Source organism: Homo sapiens, chromosome 5 (genome assembly GCF_000001405.40).
Source record: "Homo sapiens chromosome 5, GRCh38.p14 Primary Assembly".
In the NCBI taxonomy this organism is placed as follows: Eukaryota; Metazoa; Chordata; class Mammalia; order Primates; family Hominidae; genus Homo; species Homo sapiens.
Genome location: NC_000005.10, coordinates 113,012,882 through 113,029,994, shown reverse-complemented (window position 1 = coordinate 113,029,994; position 17,113 = coordinate 113,012,882). Strand labels below are relative to the sequence as shown.

The 17,113-nt window shown below is 38.7% G+C and overlaps 2 protein-coding genes across 7 annotated transcripts in view; one reads left to right on the top strand and one right to left on the bottom strand.

Moving 5' to 3' along the window:
• The window catches only part of MCC (MCC regulator of Wnt signaling pathway), a 466,348-nt gene extending 458,459 nt beyond the window's left edge, over positions 1-7,889 (top strand). For both annotated transcript variants that reach the window (NM_001085377.2, NM_002387.3), the window contains 2 exons: positions 939-1,061; positions 2,513-7,889. In NM_001085377.2, coding sequence (NP_001078846.2) covers positions 939-1,061; positions 2,513-2,693 — 304 coding nt within the window. In that variant the 3' untranslated portion in view covers positions 2,694-7,889. The remainder of the gene's footprint in view (positions 1-938; positions 1,062-2,512) is intronic.
• Positions 7,800-17,113, bottom strand: part of DCP2 (decapping mRNA 2) — a 45,398-nt gene continuing 36,084 nt past the window's right edge. For all 5 annotated transcript variants that reach the window (NR_038352.2, NM_152624.6, NM_001242377.2 and 2 more), the window contains one exon: positions 7,800-16,674. Coding sequence is in view for 4 of the 5 variants with exons in the window: in NM_152624.6 (NP_689837.2) it covers positions 16,511-16,674 (164 nt within the window). In the remaining variant the exon portion in view is untranslated. The remainder of the gene's footprint in view (positions 16,675-17,113) is intronic.

Genomic DNA, 17,113 nt, shown 5'->3' with positions numbered 1-17,113 from the left:
AGAAGCTGTCACCCAGGCACGGTGCTCAGCACTGGGGGTGCATTGGGGAATCAAACCAAGTAAAGTCCTTGCCACTCTAGAACCCAACATGACCATGGGGGAGCGTCATGGCTCCAGCACGTAATACGGTGACATAGTGCTGAGTGTGCTACTAAGTGGAGTAACACTGTGCATGTGATAGAAGGATCTTGGAAGGGAGTCAGAGTAGTCGAGAAGGCTTTGATTAGTGTTTCCCTGCTGGGTCTTGTGGGAATTAGAGGAAGGCAATGAGCTGACTGGATACTGGAAACCTCCCTGAACTGACTCTAATTAGCTTGGGTTACCAAAGTAGTAGAGGATCCACAGAACTTGAAGCTGCTTTGCCTGTGGAGGGCACGTAGTCAAAAGTGCAAATGTAATTTCATGGGAAATAAGGACCCTTACAATGAAGAGAGTATCATATCTACTCCCTCTACCAATTTTTTGGTTTTTGGCAAGGTGGGATCATGTTGGTCTCAATGAGTGGGGACCTGTTCAAGGTAGGTTGCTAAACCTGAGTGGTTCAGGAGATACTTAGGACACCTGAAAAAGAAGGGGATGGAGACAGACGGGGGTTTGTGGTCAGGCCGCACTCATTGCTGAGGATCTGGTATGCCAATAGTAGAAAGGAACTTCTAGATTAGCTAGAAGACTAGAAACAGAAATTCCTGTCTTGTTTTCTTTGACACATAAGATCTTTAAAAAGCCCTTGTCATTGAAGAAATGGGTTTAAATCTGCATTTGAGAATGAATTCATTCAGGTGACAGTAGCGCTGTTGGGCCCTTTAGTATCTTTTCTCTCCCTTGCCTTTAGGCTTTGCAAGCTAAACCTTCCTCTTTCTGTCACCACTTCCCAGGGAGTGGGCACCTCCAGCATCATCTCAAACTACTCCTGGCATATTTTGTCTCCTTTAATATAGAGAAAAGAAGTTGAAGGCCAGAGTTCAAGAGCTGGTGAGTGCCTTGGAGAGACTCACCAAGAGCAGTGAAATCCGACATCAGCAATCTGCAGAGTTCGTGAATGATCTAAAGCGGGCCAACAGGTAAAAATCTCCCTATACCCAGCCCCCACCGCCCTCCACCTGTGGTACTTGGACTGACACCCTGCATGTAGACACAGCACCAGGGATGGACATTTCCCTAACTCTTAAGAACTAACTCTAGAAAGTGGGTGAGTCCCTACCTGGCTCTCTAAGAGCCTGGTCTTCCTTAGAGTGGCATCTCCCAAGATGGTCTGTGGAAACTAAGAAATGCTCAGTAACAACATCCTTTGGCCAAATGTAGCATACTGTGGTATATGCCTCCTGGTATTATGTATCTTAAATGTTCTGAGAAGTCATATAATAAAAAATCTGTTTAAGCCAGTATTTTCCAAACAAAATTAGCCATGGAATTTATTTGAGCAACACAATATCCACTGGAATACTTCAGGAAATACTGCTCTAAGACTGGGCTCAGGACTCTTCTCTATAAAAAACGGAGGACCTCAGAGAGCTTTTGTTCCTGTAAGTTGTATTTATTGATACTTCTCATGTTAGAACTAAAACCAAGATAAATTATTTAAAGTTTTTATTATTTCATTTACAAAAAAAAAAATGGCATTTTTATGAAAAACTATTTTCCAAGAAATAATTAGAAAAGTGGCACTGGTCTTACAATTCTGCAAATCTTTAATGTCTGGCTTAATAGAAGACAGCTAGGTTCTCACATTTGCTTCTGTAGTCAACATTATGTGGATGTATATTGAGAACACCTGGCATCATCCAGCTCTATAGTTGGAAATAAAAGCTCAAGACCTCACAGACCTCCTGAATGGGTTTTACAAATCTCTGGGGTGAGTCCTCAGACTATCTGGGAGAACTGCAGCTGTAAGGGTAATGACTGTACATGGAATGGACCTACCTGGGCTCACTGTATACCCTACCACCAGGCTCTGGTGGGAACAGTTCAAAGGCCTGTATATTCCATGTTTGGCTTTGCAGCATTGGCTTATGGCCTAATTTAATATTCCGAGTCCCACCAGCCCAAAGCATAAAGGGAAGGTGGAACAAGAACAACCTCTCTGCTCTCGTCCCAGGTATGGTCACTTTGATTGCAGTGCCTTAGGAGTACTCTCCTGTAAGATACACTTGACTATGTTGCAAGCAACCATGGAGCAACAAATAGACCCACTATTTGTATTTATCCGTTTTGGACTGGGCCAATTTGGATTGCTGGTTTGACTCTTAGAACCCCTTCTAATATGTGAGAGTGACCAGCCTCTAGCAATCCGGCTGGATTCATCAGGGTTAAGCCAGTAGGTGACTGGCCGTTGAGTGTTGACATCCTGGTGCTGTCCCTCCTCTGACCACTAGATTTCAGATTCTTACCGAAGAGGATGAGTGATCTTTCTTCAGAGCAGTGCTCACTAGATCTGGTTATCCAGTGGACAGGATGGTGTCACGATGCTACTTAGGATGAATCTTAATACCAATTTCCCTTCATTCCCACCTAGCAACCTGGTGGCTGCCTATGAGAAAGCAAAGAAAAAGCATCAAAACAAACTGAAGAAGTTAGAGTCGCAGATGATGGCCATGGTGGAGAGACATGAGACCCAAGTGAGGATGCTCAAGCAAAGAATAGCTCTGCTAGAGGAGGAGAACTCCAGGCCACACACCAATGAAACTTCGCTTTAATCAGCACTCACGCACCGGAGTTCTGCCCATGGGAAGTAAACTGCAGCAGGCCACTGGGGACAGAAGGGCCCATGTACTTGTTGGGAGGAGGAGGAAAGGGAAGGCTGGCAGGTAGGTCGGCACTTGGACAATGGAGTGCCCCAACTCAACCCTTGGGGCGACTGGCCATGGTGACATTGTGGACTGTATCCAGAGGTGCCCGCTCTTCCCTCCTGGGCCCACAACAGCGTGTAAACACATGTTCTGTGCCTGCTCAGCAGAGCCTCGTTTCTGCTTTCAGCACTCACTCTCCCCCTCCTCTTCTGGTCTGGCGGCTGTGCATCAGTGGGATCCCAGACATTTGTTTCTGTAAGATTTTCCATTGTATCCTCTTTTTGGTAGATGCTGGGCTCATCTTCTAGAATCTCGTTTCTCCTCTTTCCTCCTGCTTCATGGGAAAACAGACCTGTGTGTGCCTCCAGCATTTAAAAGGACTGCTGATTTGTTTACTACAGCAAGGCTTTGGTTTCCAAGTCCCGGGTCTCAACTTTAAGATAGAGGCGGCCATAAGAGGTGATCTCTGGGAGTTATAGGTCATGGGAAGAGCGTAGACAGGTGTTACTTACAGTCCCAGATACACTAAAGTTACAAACAGACCACCACCAGGACTGTGCCTGAACAATTTTGTATTGAGAGAATAAAAACTTCCTTCAATCTTCATTTTGGAGGCAGGGCTGGGAAGGGAGCGCTCTCTTGATTCTGGGATTTCTCCCTCTCAGTGGAGCCTTATTAATATCCAAGACTTAGAGCTGGGAATCTTTTTGATACCTGTAGTGGAACTAAAATTCTGTCAGGGGTTTCTTCAAGAGCTGAGAAACATTATTAGCACTTCCCGCCCCAGGGCACTACATAATTGCTGTTCTGCTGAATCAAATCTCTTCCACATGGGTGCATTTGTAGCTCTGGACCTGTCTCTACCTAAGGACAAGACACTGAGGAGATACTGAACATTTTGCAAAACTTATCACGCCTACTTAAGAGTGCTGTGTAACCCCCAGTTCAAGACTTAGCTCCTGTTGTCATGACGGGGACAGAGTGAGGGAATGGTAGTTAAGGCTTCTTTTTTGCCCCCAGATACATGGTGATGGTTAGCATATGGTGCTTAAAAGGTTAAATTTCAAGCAAAATGCTTACAGGGCTAGGCAGTACCAAAGTAACTGAATTATTTCAGGAAGGTCTTCAATCTTAAAACAAATTCATTATTCTTTTTCAGTTTTACCTCTTCTCTCTCAGTTCTACACTGATACACTTGAAGGACCATTTACTGTTTTTTTCTGTAGCACCAGAGAATCCATCCAAAGTTCCCTATGAAAAATGTGTTCCATTGCCATAGCTGACTACAAATTAAAGTTGAGGAGGTTTCTGCATAGAGTCTTTATGTCCATAAGCTACGGGTAGGTCTATTTTCAGAGCATGATACAAATTCCACAGCCTTCTGTTCGCTGGAGGATACTCCAGCCACCAGTTCGGAGGGCAGACAGCTGTATCCTAAAAGCAACCACTGAGAGGCCAGCAGTGAGGCTGCCCATCTCCAAAACGAAACAACAGATCAACTGGTATCAGTCTAGAAGGACCAGCTTTGGGGTGCTTTGATCACTATGAAAATGTTCACTGGTTTCTGTCAATCATTTGGTCAAAGTTAGTTCCTGTGATTTTTTTTTTTTTTTTTTGAGATGGAGTTTTGCTCGTCACCAGGCTGAAGTGCAGTGGCGTGATCTTGGCTCACTGCAACCTCTGCCTCCTGAGTAGCTGGAATTACAGGTGCCCGCCACCATACCCAGCTAGTTTTTTTGTATTTTTAGTAGAGACAGGGTTTCACCATGTTGGCCAGGCTGGTCTCGAACTCCTGACCACTGATCCACCCACCTCGGCCTCCCAAAGTGCTGGGATTACAGGCATGAGCCAATGTGCCTGGCCATTCCTGTGATTTTTTAGAATTTTTCACTTTTCATATAAAGTTGCATTTTATCATGAGGAAAATGTTTTGGCTGAAAAACATATGCCCCAAAAAAAAAAAAATCAGTTTTCACTATTTTTCCAGCTTGCCTAGGGAAACGTCCTCCCCTGAGCAAAGTGGGATGTGCATGGCTCTTTTTTGTGATTAAGCAGGCATCAAATGGGCAGTTTTCATTTTCACTGACACAGAAACATGTGGCTGAAGCAGGAATAAAATCCTGCCTACTGACTTCTGTCTCCATTCTTGCTCCAGGTAAAATCAGAGAACCTCCCCTTCTCTGAGAATTCCCCCAGGCAGAGGCGGCTCCAGCTCCTGTTAAGGGCCCCAGTTTTACTCATGCTACCTGACCTTAGTTTTAGTACTTTCAAATGTGATTTGGGTAAAAACTATTTTGCAGGCAAAAGTGTTAATTTTTTATAAATATGTATAATAAAAAAGCTATAAAAGTTTTTCCTTTTCTTGTATTTTTCAAATACTCCCCAAGACACAATCCTTGAAGGTGAACTAGGTGGCACTTGATTATGCTAATTGTGGGAGCTACTGAACTAAACTATACTGATTAAATTAAATGCTTGCAGGTTCCTGGGTAATTTTCCTTTGTGAATAACCTGGCGCTACCTGAATTTTTCTCTAACAAACATCTCCAATGAGGGTAAACAATGATCTTGATTCTAATTTATATGAGGTTAAAAACCTTCAGATTTCGTATTTTGAATTGTTCTCCCTAGTTTCCTCAGTGGTTACCCCCTTTTAGTCAGTAACCATCTCTGTTCAGAATTCAGTCTTTGGCTTTTGAAGAAATGGGCACAGAGCCAAAGGACCCATTTCACAGTTCCCTTGGAATATATTTCCCATTGTTGGACTGAGGCAAACAAAACCAACTGTGCAAATCACAAGCAAAAGAGACTTCTGTCCGTAGTTGCGAGTGCCATCAGTGTGAGCTTACCAGCTACAAAAATCTGTCATGGACTGGGGAACAGTATGATTCCTTATTGAAACTTTCATCCTCATCGGCTGGCTTGTCAGCGTTCTGAAGTTAATATCCATGCTGCCTGAAACAAATGTTATGTTTAACTAGCACTTAACTTTTAAAATTGCTTAATTCTCCTTTCAGATGCATGCACTAAGTCTTCTCTGAGCCTGCAGCAATATTTTAGAGGGACCTCTTCTAAGTCAGAGCCTTGACATTCTACTCCAAAAGGAAGTCCAAATTAGAGCCCATAGGCTTTTTCTTAAAAGCTGTTAAGGAGTAGTAAAGAAAGTTACCACTCTAAGGAAAACATGAAACTATCTGAAAGTCTTCTGGTTCCTAACTGGATACAGATTAGATTATTTTAAATGAGAAAAAAGTGCACCGTAGTTACCCGATCAAGATTGGACTGCCTGTGTCCCTGGCATGAATTAAAGAACCTCCATAGTTGCTTGTTCCCTTCTGAAGGTGTTTCCTATGGCCCACGAGAATTATAAAGCAATCACTTTTTAAGTCTATCAGTCAACCTTAATAGCTCTCAAGAGTTTCGATTATCAAGCTTTAAAGTGATAACATATCAAGATGACTATTAAAAAATAAACATCTCTGAAAGTGTCCTTTCCTCCATAAGGCTTTAAACAATTTGCAAATTCTTAATTGGGAGTATGTCCCAATCATTCTATTAAACTATTTACAGCTCTACCTACTTCTAGATTCAGCAAACAGAGCTACTAGTTAGAGTATTTTGAGAGCCAAAATAGTAAGAGACTTCTGTAATGGTTGAGATTTCTGCACTGACCTTAATTAGGGTACCGCCATAGGGCTACCAAAGTTTTTAGTGAGGGCTGGGGAGGTGGAGCATAAGTAACATTTTTTTTCTGCAGAAGGTGATGGCTTTGTAGAACACTATAAAATTTTTCAGGAAAACATACAGCAAATTTTCTTATCCAGTGGGAACAGCCTATTTGACAAGGAATGATATACAAGTTTGATTCACCTTTGAGCACTCTTATAGAGTTTACAGAAGAGGCGTAACTGGTTACAAAACAAAAGTTACGCCTTCACTATCCAGTTCTTAAAGTTTATCCACATCCTACAAATCTTATGTTCATGTAGGTCAGGTTAAAGTAAGCTCCAAACTTGTGGCCTTCAGAAGCATCTCCTGTTTAACACACCTGAAATTACTCTAACTTAATACATTTGTATTCTCTAAGAAATAATGCTGACTGCTGTCACCACAGCATCACTGATCTCTCAGTGGCTGTTAAAATATAAACAAGTGGAAAAAAAGTATACAAGTTGATAGCAGCTGTTCATGTATTCTTGTTTTGCTAATACCTGTGTAGAGAAAGACAGTTTCACATGCAGATCACCATACATTTTTGCTTAAAGGTTACACTGGGTAAACTGTTTGTTTATCACATTACATCTGGGTGAGATTTTGCATGTGACCAAGAGGAAGAAATCATTCAGTCCCGGAAATAGCAACTGCTATGTAAAACCACATCCTTGACTAGTACTTCATCTTTCCACAGTCATCCATCTGCTAATCAGGTGAAATATCAGCTCAGCAGAACAAAGCAAGTTATACACAAATTTCCCCCACATTCACACTGATGCCGTACTTAGTAATTCTGGTTCTACCATTCCCTTTTGCACTTTTTGCAAGTCAAATTCATGTGGAAAAATGTTCTGTTTGTAGAACTCATAGTATTCACTTATAGTGCTCATGTCAGGAATGGCAAGTGAGTAAGAGCCCCTGATAATCTGCTTTTGTTAGAACGTAATGCAAAGATAATAAAACATGTCCACTTCTTTTCTAGTTCTAATCAGTTTTTAGACATCAAGATTTATTTACTTTGCATGAGATTTGTTTCCTATTATTTGAATATGTGCTATACACTTGAATTAGAAAAACCTGCTTGAATGTATTGTCAGTTATTAAAGCACATGTGACTAAGTTTGCATTTGTCAGTATTGTTCTACTGTTTGTACTGAAAGTCTCATTTTAAAATTGCTACTTAACACTGTACTATACCTTGTAATTTTTTAGATTCTCCACTTGTATTCTTTAAATGTTTCCAGATGCCTTTAGTTTTAGCTGCTGTAAAATAGCTACTTTGCGTTATTTGATATAGAATTGTTTTTTAAAAACTCCATTTATTTATACAGAGACATTTATAATATTTTACAAACATTCTTATATTCTGAATAAATATTTCTAATTCCACAGTGTACCTTAACTGTGTTATTTAAAGGGTAAGGCTATCCTTCTGTAGAACTGTGATATACATGCAGGCAAATATCAAATCCATGATGCTTACATGAAATCAAGAGCCCTAGTCAAAGCAGGGGTCTAGAAGTAAGACTATTATTAGATCAAAATGGCCAAAGAACCCTCATTTATAGCCCATTTTTAGTTGGCTTTTTAAAATTTGGCATAAATAGGAAGTTATCTATTGAAGAGAGTCTTTTCCCCTCTTAAAGAAAGATCATTAAAATGGAATGTAATCAAGGACTGGAAATGCAAGGAAGTCATATAGGACAACAAGATGGCAAGCAGCTTTGCAACACATCTGTTAGAGAAAGATTACAATGTTCTCAAGTTTTCACTATGGAAGCAAAGTAACTTTGACAGTAAGTATAACACCTTAGTCACTCTCCTTTTGAGAATTTAAAATAAAAGTTACTATCATATAGCTGAGGTCTCTAATGGAAAAGAATGTATTTCTTTCCCCCTTGAGATCCAAAGTTAAGTATTCCTATTGCAAAACCTGATTCTAGCACAAACTTAAGAATTGCTGGATTTTAAATATCTAATGAATTCACATCTCAAGCCCTACACTATAATCTTGCTTTAAAGCAACAAACTTAATTGTTTGAGGTATTTTCATTTTTGCAGAGACTCTCGACAATATTTCTTCCTGGGGGTTTTTTTTTTTTTTTTTTGGTTGTTTTTTGTTTTTTCCAGACAGAGTCTTGCTCTGTTCACCCAGGCTGGAGTGCAGTGGTGTGATCTCAGCTCACTGCGACCTCTGCCTCCCGGGGTCAAGAGATTCTCCTGCCTCAGCCTCCCAAGTAGCTGGGACTACAGACACGCACCACCACGCCCAGCTAATTTTTGAATTTTTAGTTTCACCATGTTGGTCAGGCTGGTCTCGAACTCCTGACCTCGTGATCCACCCAACTCAGCCTCCCAAAGTGCTGGGATTACAGGTATGAGCACCGCGCCCAGCTTCTTCCTGTTATATAAACATACTTTTATCATGTTCATCTCATACTTGCCATTTTTATTGGTCCAAAGAGCAACCACAATGAGCAACTCAGAACCTACGATGATAAATAACAGTAGCAGAAAACCAGGCTAAGGTGGTAACTAAAACCGCCCAAGCAGCCAATTTTATTGATAGTACATTACAAACAATCTAACACAATGATGTTTTTACAGAAAGCCAGTATCTGAACAACCTTCCATCGTTCAAATTGTATTTTGTAAGATTAAAAGGCTTTTAGTTTCTAACCTATTATTTACATCAAAAAGCTTTCAAAAAGTTAGAGCATAACTGTTAAGACATAGGATTTTGTTCATTTTCTCAGTGGAGAGTACAGAGTACAGCTGACATTCTAGTGGGTCTTTGGAAGTACAGTAATCCTGCAAACATTTAAACTCCAATTCACAAACATGAATCACCGGAAATCCTTTGATAGTCATACCCAACAATACAGGTAGTCTTTATCCTTTCGTTAACACTGAGGGAAAAAAACAGTTGCTGTTCAACTACAACAACATAAATCTAGAAACAGAATGAAACCTGTTCCAAATGTTTCTGTTCTTATAACAAGGTGAACACTACAGGTGTTTTGGGGTTCCTTTTCTGCTATCAGTAAATGTTTGACAATTTCCAAAAGAGCACCAAGAACTGTATACCACCATGAACAGAATCCCTTGAAGTAGATTCACTTATAGTCTTTCTCCAAGCATTAAAATGCCCTATAAGGTAAAACAAAACATTGCTATAATCTAGGCAAAAATTAAAGGTTGAATCATTTCACATAAGATAAAAATAATTACTAAAGAAATAAAGTTCACAAATCTACTTGGTTATCACATTTACTCTAAAGTCTGGTTTTTTCATTGACCATAATATATTTAGTGAAACATTTCCTCAGTTTTTGTCTACCAGCAAAAGGTCTCAAAATAATTTGCTTAACATAACTCAGCATAAATATCTTCACCTTTTTCCGACTAAAACTTACTCCCAAACAAATTGTTTTAAGACTATGTATCCTCCATTAACATCTTTAAAGCATAATGTAAAAAGCCACATCAAGTCTTCTTTTGGAAATAGGCACAGTATTAAAAAGTCAAGTCTTACCACTTTCCCATCCAAACTAATCTGTATGCCCTATTTCGGTTAGACAAAAGGCAATCTTATTAAGAGAACTTCACTTAAAAATGCTAATGCATGAACTGTAATTCCGTTTATTTTATTCTGAAATGAGATGGTTTTAAATTTTTATTAAAGCTAACAGATAAAAGTCTGAATTGTACATGGATCTAGGATAAGTCAATAATTACCAAGGATGATTTTTTAAAAGTACTATAAGGTATTAAGCTAATAAGCAAACTTCAAAACAATTATTTTTTAAAAACAGACATAAAGCAAAATAGTTCATGGTTTTATTGTCCTTCCCTGTTTTTGTTACTGAAGAAAAAGTTTCTAATATTTGTAAAATGGAAGTCAGGTTAGCTGTCTCCTGTCCTAACTCTAAAGTGAAATATGACCAAAGAACTTTAAGACTCATTTCTTTGGACACTTGCATTTAACATTAAATGATTACTTGTGCAACATCCTAACACAAACCTAAAAGGAACCAAAGAGACAGCAGTCCCCTAGAACAGTAGTGAAATGCACAAAGAAACTCTTAGCAGTATGTCTTCTGTGCTTTTCTGTCAGTGCGTATCATATGTATAGTGCATAAAGAATACAAGTCTACTGTTATATATTCCAAAAGCACTAACCCATCTAATCAACCAACTGCTGAAGAATTATCTTTCTAAATTTCATTCACAGTTGAGAACCTTTACTTTCATTTGCTGCCATCCATAGTCTTTTCCTAAGTATCACAAAAGGATATGCCTGCCAATCTCTTAAAAAATGACAATGCAGACTTGTGCTCAAAATGAAGCTACAGATTTAGAACCTCAGATTCAATGAACTAAAAGGAGAATATATTAAATGTTAAATTTGACCTCAGAAATTCCACTATACTAAGGATGTTGCCTAAGACCTCTCAAAGACTGAGGACCAGCAGAACACTGCCCATTTCACTCTAGAACCACACACAAGTCTGTTGTTCCCAAGCCAATGTGAAAGCTATAAGCCTTGAGACTCAAAAGAGCACAGGTGTCCACAGGTGACCCAAACATCAAAAGTGAGATCACCTTCTCAGGAAGGAAAGATAAAATCACTGCTTGCAAGTCTGTGGCAGGTTTGCTATAAAGATGTGAAACAAATTTTAAAATATGGATTATTCTACAGAAGGGGTAAGACACCAGGGAGAAAAAAAGGACTCAATGGACTTTTTCCTGGCCAGTCACACCAAGAAAAAGGATTAAGAAACAACAGGTCTTCAAATGGCACTGAACGAACAGTAGCCAATAACCCAAAAACCACCCAACCACCTGCAGGAAACCTTCCACCAAAAAGCAGAAAACACATATTCAGGGCCATTGTCTTCTACTGGACTAAAAGACTGAAGTCTACTAAAGGTTAGGGTCCATGTGGGACAAGATTACAAACACAGCCAACTGATTTCTGCATTCACTCTTCAGAGTACCTTTGACCAATACTACCCAGCTAACGTAAGCACCTTGTGAAAGCTCATTCCTTTTACGTTGTGCCTTCAAGCTGCTAACATAGCTAGACCATACTCCTCTGCTAACCACAGAAGATCCAAGATAAATGGAATGTTTTTATTGGTGATTTCATTACTCTGATAACCCAGATTAAAGATTTCATTATGAACAATTCTCAAGACCTCCATACTTTATCATAGTTTTTCTTTACACTTGTTTGTACTCAGCTGGTGGAAGTCAACCCTTTAAGCCCACTCCCATGCATAAGAGTAACTTTCACTCTTTTCCCTATTTTAAGACTATTTCAATAGTAAATGCTATTTGTCACAAGGAAGTTAGATGGAAAGGAATGAATCACCATTCAGGACAAATGTATAACCACTGTGATGTGACTGACACCAAAGCAGATTATGGCTGTGTGTTCTGAGTTGTCTTCCTGTAAGAAAGCAGTGCACTGAAGTTTGACTGGAGTTCTACAGTATCAGTACAGGAAGGACCAGACTCCTCATCACTGGTCTTTAAAGTGAGAAAAATTACTTTAGATTCACTGGATTGCTTGGCAATCAAACTTCAAAAAAATTAACTTTATCCAGGGCTAGAAAACACTCGATAATGGCGATACATATATATGTATAGATATAGATATAGATATTCATATATATATGAATGACTACACTTAGGCCATGCAATGATCACATTTCTAGCCTGGAACATAATAAAGCACTCAAGTATTGATAAATGCTCTAAAGTTTCTTTCTTACACTCTTTGCCCAGCAACTATAGCTATTCTTCTCCCTTCAGGACACTTTGATTCTATAACAATAATCTATCATATTTTTTTGAAACTGCAATCCAGAATCCTACTTTGAAAGCATGGGGCAAAGCCTGTACTGCCCATTTGCAGTCTGCCATCTTTCTGACACAGGAGTACAGACTTCAAGAGCAACTCAATTCTAGGAAGCAAAAAGATGCTGAGAAAGCCCACCATCTCATTTTTAGAACTTTTGGCAACTAGACAAATGCACTTTCAAGTCTTAGGACATAATACAAAATCAGAAACTCTACCTAGACTTTACCAAGCTGTCAGGAGTACTGTTTGACAAAATTGTTTTTACTAACACTTGCTTACCTACAGACAGGTATGTAAAGGATACCTTCAAACAAAAAAACAGTTTGTTTTGTTTAGTAATCTAAAGTTACAACAACACATATGAACCCCATCCCCCAGGCTAGAAAATAATCCAAGTCAAAATTACTAGGAAGAAAAGTTAATGAGTCTGACTTTACTATAACTATGATTAACATACAAAGAAAATACTGCCTCGGAAAATATAGAAACACAAAAGATGTCAATCAAAACAGTCTCAGGGAGCAGGAAGGTCCACTGGTACAAAAATAAAGATAAAAAGCCAAGAGAGACCACCCTGACCAACATGGAGAAACCCCGTCTCTACTAAAAAGACAGAATTAGCAGGGCGTGGTGGCGCATGCCTGTAATCCCAGCTACTTGGGAGGCTGAGGCAGGAGAATCACTTGAACCCGGGAGGCGTAGGTTGCGGTGAGCCGAAATTGCACCATTGCACTCCAGCCTGGGCAACAGGAGTGAAACTCCATCTCAAAAAAAAAAAAAAAAAAGCCAAGAGGGTATTGTGGTAAGAAAACTAACTTGGCAAAATGTCTAATTTTTATAATTAACTTTGCTCTCCTTACCATTTAACTGTTGGAGATGAAAAAAGAAAGGATGAGAAGTCCATGAGAGAATAGGTAGTGAAATGTTTTTAATGCACACATGCACTCAGACCTTAACTTTTCTATAGGATACAATATGGTGACTTTTATAGAAGAATCTAATTCCTATAGTAGGAGGCTGTTATTTACTCAGATTTGAATTCCTTTTATTTGACATTACATACAAATTACTAAAGCCTTAATAAGGAAAAGTACCAATTCAATCTTACAGCATAAAATTACTTTCATTATATGTCTTCATTAGCTATACTTACTAATTGATATTTAATAGAAAAATAACGATATTCAAAGCTCAGAACAGCAAGTAGTAACCACAATTCCTTTGACAGCACTGGGAGACTTTCCTTTATACATGAATACAAAAATCCAACTTCATTTTCCAACATCTTTAATCAAATTTCACTCACACTATATGAGTTCTATTAGGTTCTCAGGCCTCTCCAAATGCTCATGTCTCAGGAGGGTATCACTATTTGAAATCCTAAACCATTCATTTGCTACTTCTTAACAAAAATTTTTGAAAAGCATGTAAACCACACCCTTATCTTTTGGATTACAATGGTTAGGTACAAAAACAATTCATTTAGCATCTTATAAATCATTAAAGTTATACATAAAAGCACCTACAAATTTTTTTAAAAATAAAAGATTCACAGTGCACTGCACCTTGGAACATATAAGGTTGGAACGTAACATTTAAAAAGTGAATTCCAAGACCTGTATCTCTCTCAAAGACATAAAACATAATGAAGCAAAACCAACTACTCTTCTCATCTAGCATCTTAAAATGCAGCACTCAGTAGAAGTAAATGATTGCATATTCAGCATACTCCTTTATCACTTGATTTCCTCAAACCATACTAAAATTTCTCAAAGGAGAAATCCAGTTCGCTAAGCATGGCCTTTCTCAAGGTAACCTGAACACTGAGAAACTATTACCCAGGTTTGAGAGAATAAGTATAGTAGATGTACCTAAAACAAGTACATCCAACTTAAATATTTTCTGCATAGTTAAGTCACATCACACACATAAACTTTAACTCACATCTTTTAACATTTTTTTAACCTCAAACTTTGAGGAGAGCTAAAAGCCTGAAGTTATCATAATCACACCCCAACAGTACCCTTATATTTTGTTCCACAGTGCATTAAATAAAGCAGCGCAACAGCAGTAACATTTAACCATAGTTAAACTACTGTAATCACAAAGATAATTTGTTGGTTCTTGAAAAGGCTCAACACCATTAGAGGCCATACTTCTGGTAACTATAATCTCTTTTGCTTCAGTATTGAGAGCTGAAAAATCCAACTCTACAGGCACCAGGAAGACTGGCCAAAGTATGCACTTAAAAAGAAAAAAAAAAACACATACCAAAAAAATAAAAAACAGTAAAAGTTAAATGGTTTCCAGAAGACAATAAATGAGTGAAAATTATTCATCTGCCAGGCAAACTACATTTTCACTCCTTTAACAATTTACCAGAAGTCTGGAATGCTGGGACCAACTATAAATATGGCTCGAAGAGACCCAAGCAAAGCAGCCGTATTTCTGAAAAGAACAGTAAAAGCTTCCAAACACAATCATATAATGCATTAAAAAGCAAAAGTCACAGGATTCAAAAATTTGTCACATTAAAAGATGCAGGATTCTGAATATCATAATTCTATACACACTGCTTTAATTGTGAATTCTCCTGCTTAGCACCAAAAGGGTGACACTTTCATTAATAAATAGAATTTCTCCTTTAAAATCAAGCCATTTAAAAGCTAAAGCAAAGTACTACCAAGTGAATTCCTTAAATAGCCCTTCTTTTAAAAGTCCCATGAGGTTCAGTGGAACCCAATTAAATAGGCTACCTACACAGAATAAAGATTTCTACAATAACATTTATAAGCAGAGAAGTATTTTGTGGATACCACTGTAAAAAAGGATTTTTAAAACCCACATGATAGTTACACACACACACATATACTCAAACACCCCCGACTCCCAAGAAATTCCTTCAATGAGGTCAGATGCAGCCAAAACACTAAAGCCCCCTTAACGCCCTGGTGATTGTCCTCAGTTATAGCTGAAATCCTCCTTAAAATGGGCACTGCCATCCTTATTTGAATTTAAAAATCCTGAAGCAAAATACATTCCTAGGAGTGAGTTATGTATGTTACTGTTATGTAACACATATACATAACGTGTAACCTAGTGAAATGCTTTATTTGGACTTGGGTAAACTGCATACCCCTTCCCTTCTCGCTCCATCATCCAGGGGCTTAGCAGGTCAATAAAAGCATGTCAGTCTCTGCTACTATTGCGAATTGGAACCTAATGTAACATCAGTTTCCAAAGATCAATACTGGAGATGCAACGTAAAACCTAGTAATATCAGTTTTCCATACATATTTACACAACTGGAATACAGAAGAAATTTCCACAAGAACAAAAGTCTACGAGACTAAAGGGTTGGAGGCAGGACAGTAAAGACATGACCCAAAGTAGCTGCTGGGTCCCAGCCTCCATGCTGTCTGCTACATTTCCTCCAGCAGTCTCACAGGTTTACTGACTGCATGTAACCACAGCTCAAAATCACAGCATCAGCTCCCATCCACTCAAGCCCCTCCAGGCTACAGACTTTGTCCTTTTGAAGCGCTGAGTTCATTTTGGACATGCACATTATATTCCAGAAGCTGCTCAATAAATCCTTTCACTAAAACTCCAGAGGAAGATTAGAGAGCCTCAGTGGTTAGAAGCAGAGAGAAGTACAAAATGCCACCAAAATAGATCACCTGTAATGCTGACGAATGTGACATCTCAGCTCTTGTGTTCATTTAATAATTGGGCATTACTTTAAGTTTCTTTGAAAAACTCCAATATACTATTATTGCAATCACTGTAACAGGTAGATGGAGCATTCCCATTAACTTGGCTACTTGACAGTAACTCAATACATTATTTTCTTAACCAGAATACAAAATAAAACCCACAGTCACACAGAATAAATGCCCTCAAAGAAAGCAACTTAAACTTGTACTGAACACTGAAAAGGTAAATCTGTATAAAAGGTTATAACTGCATTTACAGTGCAAACTCGTGTTTCTTTCTACTCTCTTATAAACAGAAAATGTCTTCAGAAACATTGCCTCCCTGCATTTCTTTAAAACACCTGAGAAAGGTAAGGCTTGAGGAGACACCCACTCAAATTCAACAGGTCTCTGATCCTGGGACATTTACAATACATGTGCTGCTATCAAAGGTCCAAGATTTTCATTATAGCATTATGGTCAAACTTGAAACTCAAAAAGGCTCTGGATGAAAAGGGGAACTTGCAATGTCCATTACATGCCACGGGCTGTCCCTCAGCATGTTCTAGCAACTGGTCTTCACTGGAGCTAGGCAAGTCATATACAGCATCTGTTTAAAGAAAAAACAAAATAAATAAGCTCAGTAACCTTAGTAAGAAATCAAATACTGCCCTTTGCCTTTTGTTACAAAACAATTAGTTTTGAGTATATATTTATCTTCCCAGACTCTAACCCTAAACAGAACCACCAAAATATGTATTTTCCTTTCCATAAACTGGTGGTCAACTGCATTTTCAATCTATTATTATTTCCACATATTCAAAATCTTAATCTCAGCCATTAAGACCCTTGACATTCCTTTGCTTTCAAAATGAGCGTAACTTTACCTCCTGTATGTGCTTTACCTATTTTATGTGCATTCTGTTACAGAAAAATAAAGCTGGGGTTTACCAAGATTTCCAGGAATTTATCACCATAAAGAAAAATCTGGCCAGGCATGGTGGCTCACACCTGTAATCCCAGCACTTTGGGAGGCCAAGGAGGGCAGA